Source organism: Homo sapiens, chromosome 5 (genome assembly GCF_000001405.40).
Source record: "Homo sapiens chromosome 5, GRCh38.p14 Primary Assembly".
NCBI classification, from domain to species: Eukaryota; Metazoa; Chordata; class Mammalia; order Primates; family Hominidae; genus Homo; species Homo sapiens.
Genome location: NC_000005.10, coordinates 149,816,932 through 149,831,092, shown reverse-complemented (window position 1 = coordinate 149,831,092; position 14,161 = coordinate 149,816,932). Strand labels below are relative to the sequence as shown.

The 14,161-nt window shown below is 49.0% G+C and overlaps 1 protein-coding gene across 8 annotated transcripts in view, besides 1 other annotated feature; it reads right to left on the bottom strand.

Annotated features, from left to right (window-relative positions):
* PPARGC1B (PPARG coactivator 1 beta) overlaps positions 1 to 14,161 on the bottom strand; it is a 127,650-nt gene that overhangs the window by 26,867 nt on the left and 86,622 nt on the right. For 3 of the 8 annotated variants that reach the window (XM_011537553.3, NM_133263.4, XM_011537557.2), the window contains exons 2-4: positions 10,487 to 10,660; positions 4,208 to 4,420; positions 210 to 326 (exon numbers count right to left, since the gene is read on the bottom strand). In XM_011537553.3, coding sequence (XP_011535855.1) covers positions 210 to 326; positions 4,208 to 4,420; positions 10,487 to 10,660 — 504 coding nt within the window. Of the gene's footprint in view, positions 1 to 209; positions 327 to 4,207; positions 4,421 to 10,486; positions 10,661 to 13,314; positions 13,682 to 14,161 lie in introns of those variants that run through there. The other 5 variants (XM_011537555.3, NM_001172698.2, NM_001172699.2 and 2 more) reach the window with 3 other exon arrangements.
* Positions 11,402 to 11,918: an enhancer, noted in NCBI's record as "H3K4me1 hESC enhancer chr5:149198738-149199254 (GRCh37/hg19 assembly coordinates)". NCBI's record gives its function as "activates a minimal SCP1, AML or CMV promoter by ChIP-STARR-seq in primed H9 embryonic stem cells {active_cell/tissue: H9 hESC(primed)}" and the evidence as "EXISTENCE:reporter gene assay evidence [ECO:0000049][PMID:30033119]".

Sequence of the window (14,161 nt, the reverse complement as noted above, 5' to 3'; positions counted from 1 at the left end):
TAAAGTGTGAGAAAGTCCAGGGCTCCTTCCAGAAAACCCTAAACTAGGCTGGATCTCCAGAAGCAGTGCCCAGGACACCAGCTACAAGGGCTGTGGGAGGAGTGGGAAGAGATATTGGAGGTTGACTGAACTCGCTATCCTCCACCAGAGCTGAAGGCTGCAGCCCCAACAGACACCTGGGGTAGATTTGGGGGCATGTGAAGAAATACCTTAACACAAGGCCGTTGACTTTTAGATCTGAGGCCTGCCTGGCGCCAGGCGGTCCCTTCCTTCTGGGTGTCAGAGCTTGATGTTGGGTAGGATGTGGCCAGGAGGAGCTTCTGCAGCTGAGGGAAAAGCAGAGAGGACAGGAGCCGGGGCTGAGCCACAGCCAGAGGACATGGACTGCATGGCCAGCCCCTCAGGACTGACCTTGGGCATCACAGGACCACAGGGAGAACACAGGGTGGGCATTCCATGACCTGGGATGATGATCCCAAGATACTAGGTGCAGATGGTAGATTGTCTAACAATCCCGAACACACGTAAGTATGCTAATAACATACAAATCCTTTTCAGAGTTAATAACCCCAGGGAATAGCTATGACTTAGAAAAACTCAAGCAGGTCTTGGGTAACGTCTGTCTATTCTACTGTTAAAATATTATGATACAGTTTTATTGGGACATTCTGAGTGCACACACACACACACATACACACAATCTGGAAGGTTAGGTACCAAAATGATTCTCTGGTATGGGATTCTAGCTGATTTCCCCTTTGTTCTTTCTGTTTATTCATATTACCTCTAAAAATTAATTTCTTAAATTAAGCAAGGTAATACTTGTAAATGATTAAAAAAAAAAAAGAAGACACATCACAAATACTAAAGGGCAGACAATTAAAAGCAAGTCTCTCTCTTGCTCAAAGTCCCCTTCTGCCTCCTAGAGGCAACTCCACTAACTACTTTTCGGTGAACCTATCATGAGGTGGGCTTTCATTATGCAAGTATATGTATGTAGTCATTACCTCCAACCCACCCTGTTTTTTTTTTTTTTTCTTTTTTTTTTTTTTTTTTTTTTTTGAGATGCAGTCTCTGTCACCTAGGCTGGAGTGCAGTGGCAGGATCTCGGCTCACTGCAACCTCCACCTCACGGGTTCAAGCGATTCTCCTGCCTCAGCCTCCCAAGTAGCTGGGATTACAGGCGTCTGCCACCACACCCAGCTAATTTTTGTATTTTCGTAGAGATGGGGTTTTACCATGTTGGCCAGGCTGGTCTCAAACTCCTGACCTTAAGCGATCTGCCCGCCTCGGCCTCCCAAAGTGCTGAGATTATAGGCGTAAGCCACTGTGCCTGGCCCTACCCTGTTGTTTTTACACAAGTGGAAGACTACACTTAAGCTTGTTTGGCTTTTTTTTTTTTTTCTATAAAAACTGTAAAAGCTCTTCTGCTTCTGCACCCTGAGGGCAGGTACAGAGTGTACCTGAGCTGAGAGAGCAGGAAGTTGAATACATCTAGATTTTCCGCCGGAGATCCTAGCCAAGCTTGATAACAAACTGAGAAAGATCATGAGATTTTAGTACAGCACGGAGAGTTTCCCTGGGGAACATGCCACCCCAAGTCACTCCAACAAGGAATGCCAAAGGCCAGGAGCCAGAGAAAAGGCCACTCCACACTCTTGAGGAGCCACAGGATCCTGGCTACCCCACCTAAACCCCAAACCAGCACCCACATGTTTGTGACTTTTTCGATGGGAAATGATCCTAGGACTGGGGGAAAGAGACCTCATTCTAGCCTGGCTCAGGCCCGGTGCACTGTGAGAGCCTTGATTCCTCCATTGGTGTAATGAGCAGGGGCAGAGAGACTACATGGCTGGATTAAAACCTCTTTTTTTGACTCTAAGAATATGACAGAAGTTGCTGACCTCAGAAAATCACACAGACACACAGAGGTCCACAGGTCCTTACAAGTCCATCGCTGGACTCTCTGGGATCCATGGCCCAACCTGAGGTCCAGATGACTTCTCAGGGCCTTTTTGTTTGTTTGCTTTTTGTCTTTTAAAGAGATGGGGTCTTGCTCTGTCACCCAGGCTTGAATGCAGTATCATGATCCTAGCTCACTGAGGCCTCACACTCCTGGCTTTAGAAAATCCTCCTACCCCAGCCTCCAGAGTAGCTGGGACTACAGGCACGTGCCACCATACCGGGCTAATTTAAAAAAAAAAAAAAATCATAGAGATGGATCTTCCTATGTTGCCCAGGCTGGTCTCAAACTCCTGGCTTCAAGGGATCCTCCCACTCAGCCTCCCAAAGTGTTGGGATTACAGGTATAAGCCACTGTGCCCGGTCCCTCAGGGCCCTTCCAGATCTCTGTCGGTATGCAGGGAGTCTAGACAGCAAGTCTGTTTCCTGTGTGCCTTGCACAATGGCTGAAACAGAGGCACTCAATAAGCATGTAGGGAATGAAGGTAATCTAAGGCATGGGAGGGAAACAACCTTTGACCAGCAGGGGTCGCGCTTTGCCTCTTTAAGCTTTGGTTCTTCTCCAAAGGCCCCGTGAAGAAATGGCACTAGAATGCTTGTTACCACTAATGGTTGTACCAGAAGTATTAGTTCACATTTACTGAGCAACTCTATGTGCCAGGCACTGTTCTAAGTGCTTTATGTGTATTATCTGCTGTAATCCTCCTAATAGCCTTTGACATAGGCACTATTATTAACCCCTCTTTATAGATCAGGAAGCCGAGGCTTAGAGAGGTTCAGGATGTATGCCTAAGGGACATACAAGTACTAAATGGCAGGGCTGGGATTCAAACCTAGGTGCTTCGATTCCAGTCTGAAATGAAGCAGGACCCCCTCTCGGCAGGAGCCATAATGTGGGACTGAACATATTCTGTGCCTGGCATGGTGGGTGCTTCACGCTGCTTTGGGGAACTTGAAGGCAGTGGGAAGGAAGGGAAAGGGTCCTAGACTAGGAGTGAATACCTGAGTTCTAGTCTTTGCTGGCACACTGACTTGCTGTGTGACTACTGGAGATACCCTCCCCACTCTGGGCCACAGTTTTTCCAGAGCTGGGCTTGAGGGTCACCAAGGGCCTTTCCAGCTCAAACTCTCCATAACCTAAGAACCCTCCCGGCTCCAACAGGCTCTGATTTTCTAGCTGAGTCCTGCCAGCCTCCAGGAGCCACAGCACCAAGGGAGGGGCCCAAGACAGGCTGAGCAAAGCTAGACTTCACACTCCAGGACAGCTCAGCTATGGGTGCTCTCAGCCCGGATTGAGAGCGACTGCTTCCAGTAACTTCTGAGTTCCAGACTCCTTTGAAAATCTGATAAAATCTGATGTTCTCCCTAGAAAGCTGCTATTCCATGTGCACATTTCCACATTCCGCACACGCTCACACCGCATTTAACTTCTGCTGGTGGAAGTGTAAACCAGTCCAACATCTTTGGAGGGCAATCTGCAAGTATCTGCTTAAACTGGAAAATCACAGATCCACAGACCCAGGAATTTCATTTTTAAGAATTTGTCCATTTACATGTCACAAAGGCCTGTATAAGAACAGTTACTGTGCCACTGCTTGTAATGAGGAAGGAGTTGAAACAACACAAATACCCAACAGGGGAACCAGTGAAACCCTACCAAGGAACATTACACAGCCAACACAAAGAATGAAACAGAGCTCTACGTGCTCATGTGGAAGAGCTTCCAAGACACACAGTTAACCGTGAAAGCAACGTGCAGAGCCCTAATGTAGACTCCCTTTTGTAGTAAAATCTTTTAAAAGGTAGAAGAGGAAAGTCACATAACAGATCAGTAACCATGGTTACCTCTGGGACAGGAAAAAGCAACAGAGAGAGGGCTAAGGAGGTTTTGCTTTTAACTGTCCACTTTTACTACCTGGATTTTTACCATGTGTGTGCAATCTTCAGGAAAATGTTTTGCATGTAATTTCAAGGATTTAACACGTAACTTGGTCAATCCCTAAAGTACCAAAGAGCATAGAGAATGCAGGTGAAGCCTCTGTCGTTAGTACCTCTGTCTAGGTGGGAAAGGTTAAGTCCAGGGGGGCCTCCCACCTTCGGCCCACGCTCTCTGCTGTGATCAATATTGCCAGTGATGCACGGAGTCCCCTGCGGGGCTGGAGCGGATTGCTCTGCACCCCATGCCCTGAACCAGAAACCTAATCCCAGGCTGCAACCATCACTTCTGCTGTAAGTAGGTTCTTACCAGTGAGAGCTCGTCCACCTCAGGGGCTGGGGCCGAGGGCTTCTCCGGGGCAGGGCTGGGGGGTGCAGATGAGGGGGCAGGCGAAGCTGAGGTGCATGATAGAGCGTCTCCACCATCCAGGGCTGGGAAGGCAGCCAGACCCACGTCATCTTCAGGGATGTCATCCAGGGTCTTGGTGAGCTCTGCCAGGAGGGCCTCATTCTCACTGTCAATCTGGAGTGAGGAGGGCGGGAGGGTCAGAAAGGCAGATGGGGAGATGGTTAGTCACCACCTTAGACTCAGTCTCCACGGTGGACACCAGCTCTGCCCAGCCAGCTGGCCCACCAACACCCTCCTGCCATACCCTCCCCTCTGCCCACCCAGCAGAGCTGCTCAGTATTCCTGGCATAGCAGATGCCCAATAAATGTGTTATTGACTCCAAGAATCCCAGAATTTTATGAACAGGCAGTAGATGACAATGGAAAGGGCCCTGCCTGGGAGTCCCACTCTGGGCTCTGCTGCTTATCACATACCTGGGCACAGGGCTGTCCACCTGAGTGACGCCTACCTCCCCCACCAAGGACAGAGGCTGGCCTACCACACTGGTAGCAGCAACCCGTTACAGCCCCTCAGACCCTGGGGTCCAGGCAGAGTGAAGGCCAGAAGCTCCAGGGTTCAACCATGACAATAATAACCACAGCAGTGACGAGGCAGCTATAATTTCTCTGCGGGTTCCCAGAGCTTACTCTCCTCATTCACTCCTGAGGAGGTAGCAACTATGGTGATTAGACACTCGGGCTCTGGAGCTGGGGCTGTACCCCAGGTCCCATACTTAGCACCTCTGGGCTCTCAGGCAAGTTAGCTTTCTCATCTATCAAGTGGGATAACACACAGCACACATTTCCTAAGGTTACTGCTGAGGACTAGATGAGTAAACTTAGGTAAGATGCTTAGAAAATGGTGCCTGGCACAAAATAAAAGCACTTGCTACTGTGATGACTGTAACTACTACCACTACCACTGCTAGTGCTGCTACTGTTACACGATTTCTGCCATGACGATGATGATGATGACAGTGGTGGCGGTGGTAGTATAACTGCCCCCTGCACTCTTTGCTCCCTTCCTTCCCCTTCCCGGTGGCTACTCTGTGCCTGGCTTCATGCTGGACGCTGGTGATAAACAGCACGTGGAGAATGACATGCCCCGCTCCCATGGAGCTTACCCTCCTGTGGAGGATGGGACGAAACTAACAAACAAACAAGATCATTTCAGAGCGTGAGAAAGGCTAGGAAGAAAATAAAAGGAAGCCATGATGGAGAAAAAGAATGTGGTGAGGACTTACAGGCTCTTGAGGGTGGTCCCAGATGCCTTCTCTGAGCAGCTGATACTTAAAGGTAGGCTTGAAAGACACCAGCCAGGTAAAGCGTTAAGGAGGGGAGACCCAGGAAGAGGGAAACCCCAATCAAAGGCCAGAGGCACAGCGCTTGGCTGAAGAGAGGAGTAGAAAGGCTCTGTCAGGCTCAGGGAGGCCTCACAGCAACCTCGCCCAGGGGCGCACGATTCTGATCTCCATTTTGCAGTTGAGGACACAGAGGCTCCTGGAGGCTCAGCAACTTGTCAGGGGTCACATAGCAAATAACGTCCAAAGCCAGGACTTGGACAGCAAGAGTGCCCCATGCACAGATGAACCATAAGGAGGGTCGGCGTGTGTTCCCCCAGCCCACAGGCCCCCACGCCCAGAGGCCTGGTGTGGAGAGCACGTGGCTTCTAGGTGAGGCACCGAGCGCCTCATTTAGTAAGGCCTGGTCCCCGGGCTGTTCTGGCAGAAGGCACATTCTGTCACATGATGCCTCCTCCGGCACTCTTTCCCATCCCAGGTCAGGCTGTTTATCCTTTCTGCAGGAAGTTCATCTGAAATACACGTCTCGTGACGGCCTTTTGGCTGCACTAAATCTGTTCCAGGCCTTACAGCCGGAGCAGCAGCTGAGTAGTTCGAAGGGGGAACACGGGGAGAGAACAAACGCGTTTGTAATTTTTAGAACAGAGCTAAGAATAAAAGAAAGGTCAAAAGAAGATTTTGGTTGGGCCTGACCCAGGCCCTGGGGATGGAGGCCCGAGGGTAGATCAGGGTCCGAGGACTCTGGCTTTAGAATGCAAGCGGGCTCATTGGCTGCCCCCACCCCCTACCCACAAGTCTCCTTCAACCCTCAGGCCAGACTCCCAACCCTGTCCAGCCCAGAACCATCTGTCCAGCTTGATGGAGAGTTAAGATCCTGGAACTTGGGCCTCAGCGACCACTCTTGGGGTTCTGCCATCAAAAGGGTGATCTTAGGCAAGTCGTTTCCCTCCTCTATGCCTTGCTCCTTTCCCTGTGAAATGGGAAGACATGATCCCTGGCCAGCCTTCCTCCCTGGGCTCCCAGAAGGCCAAGTCTGGAAGCAGTAATGAGAGTGCTTTGTAGAGTGCTTAGGTCCCTAAGCTCAATGCCTGGGACATGGGAGGCACCACGGCAGATTTACTTAATGAAAGAGTGAATGAACCAAACAATGAACAATGGCGGGAGGCTAAGTTCAGTGTCTCAAAGAGCAGATTCTAGAGGGAAGTCATTCAGAGATGACATCATCAGCACTGCACGAACTGAGAATTCTCACTCTTTCCCAGGGAGAGTACCAAGGGCCCAGAGATATTGTGAATTATCACAAATATCAGAGCCGGAAGGGCTCTCAGGAACCATGTAGTGAAGAGAGATTTCAAATGCGTGGCGCACACGCTACTGCTCCCCTGTATTGCTAACAGCTGCTTCCTTCCATGCCAGCATTTTCCCTGATGCAGGGCTTCAGGTGACAACTGCCAATCAATCACAGTTGGCACTCACAAGGAAATCTATCTGCCATTATTTTTGGGGGGCGTGGTGGCAGGGGAGGAATAAAGCCCCAGGAAAGAGACCTTTCAAGGTCACACAGTGAGTCAGGGGTAGGACTAAGGACTAGAACCCAGGACTTAGAGAGCCAACACTGACTTACTGAGTGCCGGTCACGGTGCTGAAATGAGTCCAAAATGGCGAAGACCTCAAGAAGCACCCATCAATTTGGGTAAAACCAAAAGTCTTCTCCTTCTCCCGACCTCTCCCCACCCTACTCCACTGAAACAGCCAGGTGGGGCAGGAAGCTCTGAGCCTGACTGGGAGGAGCAGCCATCCCTGCCCACGCTGGCCACTGCTTCCTCCAGCCATCCATCCCAGGGAGCTGTGCCACCCCTCTCCTCTTCCCCAGGCCCATTAGCTCGGCTCTCCCTGCTCAGCACAGAAACAGAGTGCAAATTAATGGAGAGTTAATCAGCTGAGGAAGGGATATTAATAGACTCAGCCCCACCCCCAGTCTTCCTGAGCTGATCTCAAGCAGGAGGAAAACGAGCCTTCAAGAAATCTGAGGGAAAAGGCTTCATTTTGAGGACCTAGAGTGGCTTGAAGAAACATCACGGAACAGAATGTAGGCTACCAGGGCAGAAAGAATATCAGAGATCGCTACTATCCATGGGGCTTAAATTGAGGTTCAAGAAACCCAGGAAATTGGCCACTCCCTCTCCTATTTTTCTGGGAGTAGGTCCAGACTCAGTGACTCTCCTCCTGCGGCCTCAACAGATTGATTTGTCCACGCCCCTTCCTCATTCCTCACATGGGAAAACTGAGGCCCAACCAAAGGGAGCTACTCATCCAAGGACACATGGCAAATTGTCACAAAACAACAAAATACCTGCCTTACTCTAGAAATATTTACTAAGGGCTTGTCATGCCCCAACCCTAAGGACTCTGGGACAAGAGTCCCAGAAATGGAAGAGAAATGGAAGGCAACGTCCCTGTCCCTGAGGAAGTGTCAACCCTTGCAACTGTAGCTTGTTCTCTACTCTCCCAGTTTGTTTCCATAACAATGGTGCCATTTAATTGTTAACACAGCTTGGCACTGGCAGCAAGACTCCGTGATTCCCATTGGTCCCATGAAGAAACTGTCCAAGTTAGTGCCAGAAGGGGGACTAGAACCTATGGCTCCTAGATCCCAGCTCAAGGTTTTTGGAATGGGTCAGTTTAATCAGTTCCTTCATTCAACACCTATGAATTGAGTCCTTACAATGTGCAAGGGCCCCCAGAGATGAATAAAGTGTTGTTTGTCCCCAAGGACCTTGCAGTCTGAAGGACACACATGCGTGCAAGAGATGGGAGCCCATGAGAGGGACTAAGTGACCAACTGCCTTAGGAGGAGGCATCAGGAGAGCTGCGTGTCGAAGGATTCATTCAGTGGATGACTGTTAAGCCCTGACAAAGTGCCAGGCACTGTGCACAGCCCTGGGAATACAACCATGCACAATGCAGACACAGCCCACACTCAGAGTTTCCGATGGGCAGGGAGCAGGGGCTGGGGACAGGCCCCAGTCACATGCACAGAGGGTGCATCGGTGAGCAATGGATAGAGCTAGTCTAGTCTCAGGAGAGCTGGTGGAGTGTGCAGCCCATGAAAGGGAGAGGGGCTGGGAGGGCAGAGCTCAGCCAGCTGTGAGGACTGTCTTCCTTGCAGGACTGGGGCCGCACCAAGCTTACTTGTGCCTGAAAGCATTAGTAGGACCTCATCAGAAGCTTACTGGTGGGTCTGGCCATTTTCTGAGTAGGTGGGGGGCCTATACAGTCTCAGTGGGGATGGTTTTCAGGGAGCATCCAAACCCCTTTTCACTCATGAGTTCTCTGCAACCTAAAAGCATTTTCTGGAGTTGGCCCCCTAAGAGGAAAGGAACAATATAGCAAAGGAATTGTCCCCATTGTTCAAGCAAGAAAATGGAGGTCTCCGGTTGGAGCCAGAACTACAGTTTGGTTCTGGTAATTCCTCACAGGGTTGGCAAAGGGGTTCAGTGTAGCGGTGAGGGGTGTGGGTTCCTAGATTACAGTCTTTGCCTGGATCCTTACTAGCTGTTTGACCTTGGGCGAGTTACTCAGCCTTTCTGAGCTTCCCTTTCCTTGTCTGTAAAATCGATTATTAGGAGTACACAACTGATAGCTTCTCTTCCTCAGAGAGGCCTTTCCCGACCACTCAGTCCACAGTCCCTTCTCTATTTCCTTTCTGCCCTTATCACAAGTGACTGCTGTTTGTTCACATGTTTACAGACGGTAAAGTCCTCGGATGAACACAGTGCCTGACACATAGGGGGCTTGGTAAACGTTTCTAAAAGGATGATAAAATCCATGAGGAGGACGCTTGGAGAGGACGCTTGCGGCACACCACCTTGGTGTTCAGCACACGCGATGTTATTGTGGTTGTTATTATTATTATACTGCCAGACAGGCACAGGGAGCTATGGCTTCTGCCCCCAATCTTTATGAGGGAGAAAATTCCAAGAAAAGAATCATGAATCTGAATGTGTCCATCACCCAGCTAAATACGGCCAATCCAATTTCATCGATTACCCTCTAGGCCGCACACTCCCACCCACACATGCAAATCCATGCAGAGCTTGCTTTCTTCTGAAGCAAACCCCAGACATCATATTATTCCGTAAGAGGCCTTCTTACAGGAAATGCTAGCCATTACATGCCCCTGAGGCTGGGCGCTGGAGCACACAGGGCTGGGAGAGGCACATGCATAATAGTGGTTCTTGGCACTCCCTCTTATTAAAGAACCTCTAGGCTCCAGCTGAAAAAGGGAGATAATTGTATTTACAACTGAGAGTTGTTAAGAAATTTAAATGAATTAATATACACAAACAGGGACAGCTCTCCCACAGAACAGCTGCTCAATAAATGCCAGTCATCTCATTATGGTATCATCATGGTCGTAAAGTCCCGGCTCTGGAGGCAAGAAGACTGGGTTTGAATCCAGTTCAACTTCTGACTAGGTTAATTGCCCTAGGCACATGACTTAACTTTTCCAAGCCTCATTTTCCTTATCTGTAAAATGGGAAAATACTGGACCCTGTCTTGCAGGGTGGGGACGAAGACTGGATGAGATAATGTAGGGAACAGAGGACTTGGACCTCTGTGGCACACGAAGGGGCTTGGTTCTGCTCGGGAGGCCTAGAGAGCAGTTCATCTCACCCTTACTTTCTGGAGGTGACACAGCAAGGGCCAGGTGAGGCATGTGCGCTGCGCCAGATCAGGGGCCCATCCAGCACGAGAAACCGGGGCCCAACAGCTTTGGTGGGTGAGGGGATTTCTCTGCATGAGCAAGTGCAGGAGAAGGCAGAGCAGGGCAGAGCCGGGATTTTGAGGAGAGAGAGGCCTGGCAGGGTGGGAGGAGGGGAGACTGGAAAGGGCATACCTGGAAGAGCTCGGAGTCATCGGGGCTGTACTGGTTGGGTTCAGTCTCTGAGTTCTCTGGGCACCACTGCAGCTCCCCAAAGCAGGTGGCCGAGTCAAAGTCGCTGGCATCCAGCTGGGAGAGGTCAAGTTCTGGAAAGTCAGCATAGAGTTGCTCCTCCCCGGACCCTCCACCCTGAGGAGACAGGAAGGAAAGAGGTGGATCAGAGCTGAGGCTGGCTAGACCCAAGCAGGGGCCCTCTCAATAATGATGCAGCTAATCTGGACCCGTGGCCAAGGCCCGATTTTGCCAAATGACCAAGAAATGGAAAGATCAGCTTCACCCCTTGGTTGAATCTTCTGGTAGCTAAGCTAGGCCCCAGCAGTACAAAACCCCCTGCTGCTCTCCCCTCTGCACTCCTACATATCCCTCAAGGCCCTGCCCACATACATCTCTGTCCTCCTGTTACCAGAACTGTTTTGTTGAAAACTTTATTAAAGACTGTAAATAGAGGAGCTAATCCTTTACACATATGTCCCCACTTATAAGTGGACTTCTTAAAGCTAACAATGCCTCTATATTAATAATGAAACAAAAAACAGCAATAATAATGACTGACAGTATTGTGTGACTGCTAGGTTCTGGAGAAACACCCATTCATGTTCCCAGGAATTTTATAGGAATATATGTAATGTCTAAAATTACATATATGATGTAATATACGATGGAACATATATGATGAACATAAAATTACATATATGATATATGATGGAACACCAATCAATAGACAATATGTAAATAAAGCCATAAAACACCCGTATCACGGGCCGGGCATGGTGGCTCATGCCTGTAATCCCAACAATTTGAGAGGCCAAGGTGGGCGGATCATTCGAGGTCAGGGGTTCAAGACCAGCCTGGCCAACATGGCGAAAGCCCGTCTTTACTAAAAATACACAAATTAGCCAGGGGTGGTGGCGCATGCCTGTAATCTCAGTAACTTGGGAGACTGAGGCATGAGAATCACTTGAGCCCGGGAGGCGGACGTTGCAGTGAGCTGAGATCGAGCCACTGCACTCCAGCCTGGGTGACAGATGGAAACTGTCTCAAAAAAACGAAAAACAAACAAAAAAAAACAAAAACAAACAAACAAACAAACACCCATATCATGAAATACTACAGTGCTGTTGAAAAGAATGAGGAAGATCTGTGTGTTCTCCAAGACACATTAAATAAAAAAGTTGTAGAATACCAGCATGTAAAATATAACCCCACATGTGTAAAGAAAGTAAAAATCAAGCCATATATTTCTCTATGTAGGATAGCATGTATGCAAACACACAGGAAAAGATCTAGACGGTCATAAACCCACCTAACAGCAGTGAGTAGGGGAGAAGGGAGCCACAGGTGACTCTGATAACAGCATTGCCTGAATCAGTGGTTCTCAAAGTGTAGTCCCAGACGGGCAGCACCAGAATCACCTGGAAACCTGGTATGTTGGAAATAATATAAATTCTCAGGCCTAAACCCAGAGCTACTGAATCAGAAGCCAATCAATTTCTCACCCTGGTCTCCCCAGTTTAATGGTTACCAATAGAAGAACTGCCCTACAGATTCAGAAATAGCCTGAGTTGGGGGGCTGACACAGAAACAGAATGGCTTGGTGATGTTCTGTTGGCCCTGGGGCCTGGCAGAAGTGAGTTGAGATCCCCATTCACCAGTTGTGGACTTTGGGCAAGTCCCTTCATCTGTAAAACGTGGACAACAACAATATCTGCCTTATATGTTAAGATTAAAAGAGGCAATGTCATTATAGCCCGGCCTAGTAACTGCTCAATAAATGTCAGCTAAGAGTAATATAACAAATAATGATAATAATAATGATAAAACAATGGTATTTCATGGTAGGCAGAGAGGAGCGGGAACTTCTCAGAGAACAAAAAGAGGCATATGTGACACTTAAGAGAAACAGGTTTTCCCCAGACCTTTCCCTTAATTGTTCCCACTTACTAGGCCTCATAAATTATGAATAAATGTATATTATTAGCTCAACTTGACACAGGAAAAAGGCTTTTATCCAAATTTGGGTCAAATGTCTTAATTGGCATTTTGCAAGAATCCTGCCTACACAGGCGGCAACAGGCCCAGGTCCTCTCAAGCGGCCGGTCCCCTGTCCTCAAGCAGGCAGCAAGGTGCCCAGCAAGTCTGTCTCTGGGAGCATGGCCCCACCACCCTGCCCACCACCTGCCCATTCTTTCTCCAATCCACATGTATTCCACAATCCTCATTATTGAGAGCCCACTCACTCTGAGCCAGGCACTGTGATGGTGGGTGGGGAAGGATGACATTAAACAAATAATCACACAAACAAAACATGTAATTCTAAATCATGACTCTCCAGAGAAGAGCAGAACACTTCTGAACCTGATTGGGAATCTGAAGATGAGAGGGACACAGGTGCTTCCTCAATCTCTGGGTCCCCCAGGTACCGCTCTCCCCACAAGCCCAACTGTCATGCCCCCCAACTACAAATCACCAGCACTCAGTGGCTGCCCCTGCTGCGGGAACTCAGGTGGATTCTCTCAGCTGCCTCTTGGGAGCTTCTTTCTCCTTCGTGCCCAAGCAGACTGTGGGGATGCAGCCGTGGTCCTGTTCTACATGGATAATTGGTTTGTTTCCTGTTTTGGGCCATTTCTAGTAAGTCTGCAATACTTGCATACAAGTCTTGTTTGGACATATGTCTTTACTTCTCTTGGGTAAATACCTACGAGTGAAACTGTTGGGCCATATGGTAAGCATGTGTGTAAGTTTATAAAACAGAAAACTGTTTTCCACAATGAGAGAACACTCACTTTGTACACTCCCATCAGCTGTATGAGTTCAATTCTTCTGCACCCTCTCCAACACTTGGTATTGTCAGTCACTTTATTTTAGCCATTCTAGTGGGCATGTTCAATGCTACTATGAGCCAGGCACTGTGTTATATAAGACTCAGCTCCTTCCTCCGTGAGTTGACATCTTAGTGAGGGAAGAAAACATGTAAATATTTCATTCTAGACTGAGTTAGTGCTATGAAGGAGAAACAAACAAGGTGCACTGATGGAAGATAACAGGAAACAAAATCTATCTTTTCACGCTCTTTGTGTTTAGAGACAGGATCCTGCTCTGTTGCCCAGGCTAGAATACAACATGGCTTGATCACGACTCACTGTAGCCTCAACCCCTTAAGTTCAAGCAATCCTTCAACCTCAGCCTCCTAAGTAGCTGAGAGTACAGGTGTGCACCACCACACCTGGCTAATTTTTCTTTTTTAATTTTTTGTACAGACAGGGGTCTCTCTATGTTGCCCAGGCTTGTCTCATCCCACCTCAGCCCCACAAAGTGCTGGGATTACAGGTGTCAGCCACTGTGCCCAGCCCAGAATCTAAATCAGATGGAATGTCAGGAAAAACTTCTTGAAGGAGAAGCCAGGTAGTGGAAGAGGTGGGAAGAGCATTGCAGGCAGAGGGACAGTCAGAGGCAAAGACCCCCGTGGGGACTGAGCCCAAGGCACAAGGCGTTGAGGTCAGTGAGGCTGCAGCTTGGTGACCAGGGGTGGGGGATGGAGGAAATGGGAAAAGATGACACTAGAAAGGCTGGTGGAGGCTGGATCAGGAAGGGATTGGAAAGGATTTGGGTTTTACCCCAAGTGTGATGGGG